Source organism: Homo sapiens, chromosome 9 (assembly GCF_000001405.40).
Source record: "Homo sapiens chromosome 9, GRCh38.p14 Primary Assembly".
NCBI lineage: Eukaryota > Metazoa > Chordata > Mammalia > Primates > Hominidae > Homo > Homo sapiens.
Window position 1 is genome coordinate 119,526,995 of NC_000009.12, and position 9,767 is coordinate 119,536,761.

Consider the following 9,767-nt stretch of genomic DNA (forward strand, 5'->3'; position numbering starts at 1 on the left):
TGAATCCACGTCTGGTCCTTTGTTGGATAGGAATGTCTGGGAGCTCAAACATGCATGAGATCTTGGATGTCTCTGCCTTTCATTTTTATTCATAACTCCCAATATGAGGGGTTTTATTTCAACATGTGGGTAGCTAGATCATAAAAATCTTACAGTTGGAAGGAAATTTGGAGTCATTAGCCCAATCTCCAATCTGATATTTGAATCTTCTGTTCAGTATTCTCATTCAATAAATACTTATTGATTGCAACTCTAATTTTACTGTTCATCATTTCAACAGAGTGATTGGAAACCTACACTGAGATCTGCTCTAGGACTGCAAAGATGACTGAACATCATCTCTGCCTTTAAGTCCCAATCTTTAGTTGGAAAGATGACAAGTAGATAGAGATTTTTAAGATAAACAATCAACAAGACAAATGGTGTAATGGAAGAAATCACAGAACATGGTTTGATTGCCTGGCACGCAGTGTCTGGCACAGAGAAAGCTCAATAGTAGTCAATAGTAGCCAAGATTAACATTCCCATTTTATTGATGTGGTTGCTGAAAGCTTTACAGTTGAGTCTTGAATATTAAGTTGGATTTCTACAGACAGAAAAGAAAGTAAATAGGATAGCATGGGAAGAATGAAACAATAGAACATCATCAGGAAATGGTGAGAAAACCAGAGTAACTGAAATGTATGCTTCATGATTTAGATGAGACTAGAAAGGTAGATGAGGCTTGTATTTGAGGGCTTTGAATATCATACTAAATAGTCATAAATTATTCACAATGATTTGATGAGCAAGGGAGTAATGACCTTTTTGTGTCTTAAAATATGCAAAAATTCCTGTATCAGTTGATATTATTCAAATTTTAGGATTTCATGGGAATGATATAGTTGCAGTCTGGAGCGTTAGTATCTCTGAACCTCAGTTTTCATATCTGCAAGGTAATTTGGGGCATATCTCCCCCTAAAGAGTTTATATGGTCCAGAAAGGATAAGACTATTAAAGGCAAGTTAAAATTAATACAATTAGATGCTGTAGGGTCTTGTTTCACTAATATGTTGGTTAAATACTGCAATTATGAATGCATATGCTATTATTAATAGCTACTTTTTATTGATCACTATGTGAAAATTACTTGTCCAAAACACTTTACTAAGTGTTCACCTTTAATTTAATGTTAAAAACAACCCTATCATGCAAGTGTAGTTAATATTCATTTTGCAAATGAGATACAGTTCAGAAGAGCTAATTAAATGGCTCAAAGTTATACAGCTAGTAGAGAAGAACAAGGAATCAAGCCCAAGTGTTTCTGATTCCAAAGCCAGTGTTTGCCACCTGTCACTATGAATATGGGACACCTTTAAAGAGTAGAATGTTTCTCTGTATGGGCTGGACAAGTTAGGAAAGATAATAGGGATTGTTTACCTGTCTTCCTGTGGTCTCAACTCTAAAGGTTCTTCACCCCTCCCGGAGCCTACATTCCAGGCCATCCCGAGATTCAATCTTTGTGAACATGTCCCCGTTACTTTTTATTATGTTGCTTGGGGGAATTGTAGCCATGAATTTTCTAGCTTATTTTTTTTTCAGTAAAGCAATGCTTACATGGTCACAGTAAAATGTATACCTATGCCAACCTGATATTAAGGTTTATTGTAATGAAATCGAGTTAGCATACTTTTTAGTTACCTTAAAGTCACAAATGTGGAACACATCCATCTCTGATGTCTACTGTTTTCTATTTTTAATATCTGAAGGCTATATAGATTTTATTAGGACCCCATCTTCAAGTAGCTGCGCAATCTTAGACAAACCATTAAATTTAGTGAAATTAGTAGGTTTAATTGTTCTGTCTTTAAGCTTTAAAGCATTACAATTTTAAGCATTTAAGCATTAATTTACATTTTAGTAATTCTATATTCTGGCCCTGGACTAGGTGCCAGAAATCATGGAAACCTGGAGAGATCATAGTCTCACTCCTCAAGGAATATACAAGCTACAGCAATAAACAGAATCTGAGTTAAAATTTCAAGCAAACAATGACACAATACAGCACAAGTTAATTTCTCCAAAAATTCCTCGGGCAGCAATTGCTGACAGTGTTGAGGAAAGGATATCATTTGGCTGGGGTGAGTAGTTCAGAATGAGGTCAAGGAGGAGCTAGGGCTATGATATTGATGAAAAACTTTGACCAACTTCGTGATTCTCTAGAATTATCCTTGATGATAAATCAATGTACATAATGGTTGTTATATTTGCATACATTTCTCTAGCCTCTGCAATTATATCTTATATACCAACACTTGTAGAAATACATAAACACATTAACAAAAAGTCAGAAGACTTGGATTCTAGCACCAACACTGTCATTAATTCTGGTGACCATGAGCAAACAGCTAGACCGCTTTGGGTCTAAATTTCTTCACCTATAAAATGAAGACATCAAAGCAGAAATTCTCAAATTTCTTTCTAGTTTAATATCATACTCATATGACTCTATATTTGAATAGCAAAGAAGGAAAATTGCACAAGAAAAAAAAATCTACACCTCTGCTAGCTGTAACTTTCTAGTGTAAAACCTTTTTGCTATAGCACAAACACAATTTTTTCTTTCTGGCAAAAAAAAAAAAAAAATCAGTTTTTAAAATATGTCCTAAATGTTCATTAGGTTTCAATGACAATATTATAAACGAATATCTAGTAACAGTCTTGTCACCTATTAATAGCTTATAATTTTAGACAGGTGGAATTCTGGGATTTATGCAAATGAAAGATAGGATCCTCTGTTATACTTTCTTGGTAAACCTCCAATATGCTGACTTAATAGCTACAATGTACTGGAAAAAAAGAGAAGACACTCATATATATTATAAGATATAATGAATTATTATTCTAAAAGTAGGCTTGTTGCACTCATTTGCATATAATGTTTAATTTTTACCAAATGCTTCATTTTAATACATGAAAAAATGATCACAAACTATAAAAATATGCTAATGAACTTTCTATTGCAAATATATTGTTGCCCATGATTCTGGAGGTTTATTATAAAAAAATGAAAATTTTCAATGGTTAAGTGATTCTTTTAATAAAAGTAATATTGAAAATATTTATACACCTCTGTATTGGAAAGGACCTTAGAGATCATTCATCTAGTTAAAACTCCTCATTTCTTAAGGGGCTACTGGGGCTAAGAGAGCTGGAGCAATTTACTCAGGGCCACACAGCTAACCAGTAGCAAATACCAGAAGAGAACCCAGGATTCCTGCTGTCCAGTTTAGTGTATTTTTTACTGGATCACATTATCTCAAACAACCAGGTTTAGTGCTTGTATTTCAAATACTCAGAACTCTATTCAGTTTGGTTATAGTTAACTACTTATAAGTTATTACAGGAATAAAATAAAGGTTGAAGAATAGAGGACAAGACAGAGGCTACCAGAAATGTAGACTAAAGTACAATGCAAAACTCTCTCATAAAAGAGTATTTCATAAACCACTGTCATTCAACAATCATCTTCATAATTTTTTGCTATTTATAGACTCTACTATTTATTTGTTTTTCTTAATTAGTTAAGTACATGCATGTTATAGAAGAACTTGACCATAGTAAATGGAAAGCCAAAAATAATGTGCTTAAAATAAAACACAATAAAAAAATAATGAAAACATATTATTGTTCATAACGGAACTTGCTGTGTCTTTGTTTTTCAAAAAAGTGGAGAAGTGGGGTGATTAGCTAGTATTAGAAATCTTAAAGATGTTAGCACCCAACTAAGATTTTTTCCCTTGACATTTAAAGATATTTGGAAAGGAAATGACTTTCTCCCAATATGATTTGGTGTCTTCAGTGTCCTGTCCCATCTAAATCACCTCCTGGACCATCTGTGGTATGCATCTCACCTACCACTTTGGAAAATGCTCGACTAGAATAAGACATCTCAGTTATTGAGGTCTCTGACATATTTCCGACTAAGGAACTACACACCAGAGAAACTGAAAGAAATTTCAGCAATCATCCAAGCAACATAATACAGTGGTAAAGTTACAAATGCTGGTAACAGCAGCCTGGTCTGTACCTTGCCACTTAACTGTAAGAAAAGTGAATTAATTGCTCTGAGTCTCAGTTTCCTTATCTGTAAAATGGTAATAATACCTGTCTCAAAGGGTTGTTGTAAAATTATCCGAGAAAACATGTAATAAAAATTGTAAACATTTACTGAGTATATTGTGTCAAGGTTTACATATATGATATACTGAATCCTTGCACAGTCTTTTAAAGATAGACATTATTAATCTCATTTTACACTTTAGAAAACTGCAGCGTAGGAAATTTTGATTCCCCCAAGCTGGTACATGCCTGAACAGGAATTAAAGCTTATGTTTTCTTATCTCTAGCTCATACCTTCTTAGCAGTTATGCTCTAGACATGCAGATACAATGGTTAGGGAAAAAGAGGATATCTCAGATGGATGGGACACAAGCAAAAATGTCTATATATAAGATGGACAGAGGTGGCAGAGGATGCTTTAGTTTGATTATTATATTAGTTAGCTACTGCTGCAAACATGCTGCATAGCAAAACACTCCAAAACTCAATGCCTTACAACAACAGCTTTTTCCTTTCCACTCACACTCCAGACTTTGTGTTTGGTGCATATCAATGCCACATGTGTCGGCTTTCACCTCGGATGACCAGCTACTCAGATCTGTTCTCATGGTGGGTGACAGAAGCTCAAGAGAACAAACCAAATTGCATGTACATATTTAAGACCTCACCTTCCACTAGCTACAGCAAAGAGCCAAATCTCAAAGTGGAGCTGGATATGATACTCTACCCCATTGGGAAAAGAGAGGAAAATAAATATTCTGGAAAATATTTTAGTGTATCACCCTTATGATGGAGAATCTACCAAGAGGGGTAATGAAAAGGTCCCTCAGAAGACAAATTGGTGTCTGATTGTGGAGTACCCACATGCCAAAAGGTATGAATATGATTCTATAAGCCACATGGAATCACTGAAGTTTTCAACATGAAGCTTGAATCTCACACATTCTATCTCATTTCCTTAGAGCTCCTTTGTTAACCAGTTCACTATACAGTGTTAGCAAAAGGCAACTGTAAACTAATGCTCATGCATAGGTAGAGAACAGTGTAACCTGAAGCAGCTCAACTGGGAATACTCAACAATGGTGGAGAGGTCAAACATTGTAGCAAAGTTTTAGGGAATAAATAGTAAGGGAGATACCTCTCAAAGTCCATGGGCTGGATGACTGTCTACCTGTGCAATTAGGTAACAGAACTATGAGACTGGGGAATGGGGAAAGGGGATATGTCTTTTACTATATAAGACCATTTAGAGCCTTTAAACGTTGCACCATGTGCATTCATTGCTTGAGAAAAAGATGAATTTAAAGTGATTTCCAAAAAAATAGAATCTTTTTAAAGATTCAATAGCCTAGGGTGGAATAAATACATGATTGTTCTACTTAATTTTTTTTCCATACTTAAGCTATTGGAAGCAGGGTGAAGAAATGTTTTTCTCCCTTCTGCTTAGAAAGAGAAAAGTAGAACTCTCCATTTACATATTATGGTATCTTCCCTTTCCACATGTAAGAAGGGTCTCTGGATACACAGCAGCTACAAGAGATTTTATTAGTAGCTCCCATTAGTCACCTTTCCTGAATTCACACCTTTTGCCAAGTGATTTTTTTTTCTTTCCTTTCACTAAAGGAAGAGTACATTTTGCCGTCCCTTAAATTTGGGCTAAGCCATATGACCTGTTTGGACAATGGACTAGGGGTGGAAATGACAGAGTGCCAGCTCTGAGTCTAGGCTTTAAGATTTGTCTCATGTTCCCATTTTCTTTCTAGCACCCCTACCAGTTTCGTGAAAGGAATACACCTGGCTAGCCTGTTGGTCCAAGTCAAGAAGTACATGGAGCTGACCTTACCCAGCTCACAGCTTTGAGCCACCTAGACGGGCCCAGCTGGTCAGCAGAGCTATTAATATATGATAAATAAGTGCTTATTGTATGGTTTCTGAAATGTGTGGTTTCTTGAAATGCAGCAATAGGTGGCTGTTTAATAATAAAAATTGAGAAATATTTAATGCAGGTTCTACTTTTCAAATTGTATGGCCTGGGTGACTTCTTGCCCTCTCCTAAAGGAAGGAAACAAACACACTGACACCTGTTCTGATGCTATAATATGTCATACATAGAGCTAAAGGCTTGACCTGTATTTTACCTTTTGATGCGCACCAAATCCTACAACAGAGGCACTAATAGGTCCCTTTTATAAGAGAGGAAACAGAGACTCAAACAAGTAAACAATTTTCTGAAGTTTATAAACATAGTGAATGGCAAAATTTGGATTTTAAACTATTTATATTTGATGTTCCTCTCTCACAGAAAACAAAATGCTATTTTTTTTAGGCAGGCACAGTCTAAAACATACCCCTTACCAGGAGCTCTTGTCCCTCTCTAGCCAAGTCACATGCCGGACGCTAGAACTATCCTAAGGCATAGCTAAAAACGGAGCTGCTAGGAGAGTGTCAGGGGACAAACAGAGTTTTCATATTCATCTCTGGAGAGTTATCTCAGGAGAGGCAAGATTCCCTTCTGGAGACAGGGGCCCTGGGCAGTGTGCAAACTTCTGAGCTCAGAGCAGCCCCAGCTAATAAATCATTTGTGAGACAATAGCCTGCGGCATCAAGTTACTCCAAGCCCAGTTTTGCCATCTCTGGATAAAAGATTGTGCTCTGCACTGCAGGCTGAGGGCTGGGAACAATTTGCTGCTTTAAAGTCTTCAGGCTTCTTGCGATACCCTTTGTTTCCAAAGCTCTGAAGCAGGCTTCTTTTGGGAAAGATAATAGGACCCACTCCTGCTTGGCAGAAGAGGTTCATATGCTGGCTTACTTAAAATGTTTAGGAAGAAGCATCATCCATCTGGGAATTATTTTGGAAGTTATGACTGACTCTCCCAATGATATTCTCATTTGCTCCTCCCTATAGCTCAGCCAGCTTTTTCACTCCTAAGTTTTGCATAAGAAAACTGAGGCACTAAGACTATGAGGGAGTAGACCCTGATTCTGCATCTGATAAGGAGGAAACCTGGATTTGAAATTCTGACTTCTGCAACCAAGTCTGGGGCTTGTTCCTGAGGATTGGCTCACCTGGTGTCACCAAGCCTGAGTTGCCATCAGAATTAAGCTTTCTTTGGGGATAAGATGTGTCCTCTCCTACTGACTCTCTATGAAAATGCAAAGTACCTGCCAAAGATAACTTTGATTGAACCTTTATATGTTGGTGTACACGAGTTGATCATGGAATAATATGGAAAGGATGCACCTTCCTCAAAGGCATATCTATCCCAACTGCTTCCTTTCGTACCTGGAGAAACAGGCCCAGAAAATGAGACCCATGTTCCCAAGACCATGCAGGTAAGTGTCAGTATTAGAAACTCAAACCTATTTCACATGATGCAAGTAGCCCACTGTCCTCCTTACAGAGCCAGTTTGAAGCAAAAAGCATTAAAAAGAGTTTGTTTTTTTTTTTAAGAGAGTGGGCCCTGTTTGGCCCACTCTCTTATCAGCCCTCCTCCTGTGTAATAATCAAGGCAGATTTTTGTTTTCTCATTTCCCAGGCAGGGCTACGGGCATCCAAAGAGATGAAGTACCTTGGTTTGAAATACTCTAGAGCTGAGTGGGTTGCTAGAGATCATGGAGAAAACAACCTCTTCATTTTCCAAGGAAGCTTAGTAAGATTGATTTATTTTTATTCTACACACAGTTACTGCACAGGGATTATGCTGTATGCCAACTCCAGTGCTGGTGCTAGAATGGTAAAGCACACAAGGCTCGGTGCCTGCCCTCACAGATGTCACATTCTAATCACAAAAGCAGACATAAAGTCGGTAATTACACAAATAATTACATCAATTAAATGTTGACGAATGAAATAAAAGAAACACAGGCAGTCATAAGAGTTTTTAGTGTTCTTGGTGGGAAGAAGGATTTATTTGATCTAATAGGTGAGGAGAGAGTTCTCTTGGGGGGCACTAGTAAGACATGGGCCTTCCCAAAAGGGAAGAAGAGACCAGAAGATGCAGAGACCCCGAAATGGGAAGGAGCACGTTGTGTTAGACTAACAGACAAAATGCCAGAGTGATCTGAGGACGAAGAATAAGAAGAGAGAACAGTGAGTGAGATGGGAGGAGGCTCTGGAGGGTCAGAGCATGGAGGTCTTCGCAGGCTAGGAGAAGGATTGTGACTTTTAAACAAGAGTAAAAGGAAGCAACTGAAAATGTTAAGTGATGGAGCAAAATGATCAGATCTGTGATTTAAAATAGAAACAAAACATGCTGCCTATAGCACTGGGAACAGATCAGAGAGGCACCACGTGAAGGCGCGGCTGCCTCTGACTAGTATGGTGGCCGTGAGAGTGTTGAAAAGTGGATAGATTTGTCCACATTTGGGACGTAAACTCAGTAAGATTTAGTGATTGATGGTTTATGATAGCAGAAGAAAGAGAGAATGAAAGCTATCAAAAACGATCCCCAAGTTTATGGGGTAAGAAATTAGGTAATTAACAGAGATGGAAAACACCAGAGGACAATAAATAGACGGGAATGTGTCTGAGGCTGGGCAAAGAGTGAAAATTTCAGTTTGGGACATGTAGCAATGTTAGGTCAATGACTGGTCATGAGCTCAGACCTCAGAAAACAATTCAGGCTGGGGAGATACATTTGGGAATCATTGCATATCGATGATACTCAACATCGTGGGAATGGTTGGGATTCTTCAAGGAGGAAGTGATCAGTGAGAAGGGCAGAGCACAATGGAGCAATGCAGAGAACCCAGGAAAAGAGGAGACCCACCATCCAGCACTGGAAATGTTTCGATCCAATATTTTAGGTCAAAAAGGAGGGGCTCACAGTAGAAACTGGGAATAAGTGAGCAGCCTAGTGGGAGGAGAATCAAGACAGGATTTCAAGAATAGCTAATGTTGCCCACATGGTATAGACAACAAATAAACTGAACACTTCAGAATGTAGCTTAGATTTGGCAACATGAAGGTAGCTGGGGTGGGATGGGATGATGAGCTGGAGTGGGATGGAGTGAATCAAGACAGGATTTCCAGAATGGCCAATGTTGCCCATGTGGTACAGACATCAAATAAGCTGAATACTTCAGAATGTAGCTCGATTTGGCAACATGAAGGTAGCTGGGGTGAGATGGGGTGATGAGGCGGAAATTTGTTTGAAGTGAGTTGAAGACTGAATGAGGTAGAGAGGAATAGAGACTCCATGCCCATGTTCTCACTCATAAGTGGGAGTTGAACAATGAGAACACATGGACACAGGGAGGGGAACATCACACACCGGGGCCTGTCGGGGGTGTGGGGGGTGCTAGGGGAGGGATAGCATTAGGAGAAATACCTAATGTAGATGACAGGTTGATGGGTACAGCAAACCACCATGGCACATGTGTACCTATGTAACAAACCCACACGTTCTGCATATATATACCAGGACATAAAATATAATTAAAAAAAGAAAGAAACTCCATGAGCAGCAATGTTTTTGAGAAGTATGGATGTGAAGAAAAGCAGAGAAATTTGTCAACAGCTGGAGGGAAATATGTTGCTATCTAATTGTTATGGATATATCTGCTGTGTTACCTTGGGCAAGTTAATTAACCTCTCTGTTTAGACAATATAAAAGGAAAATAAGGCGTATTTGTCAACTGCTGAGAAGACCAAAATGGAGAAGGAG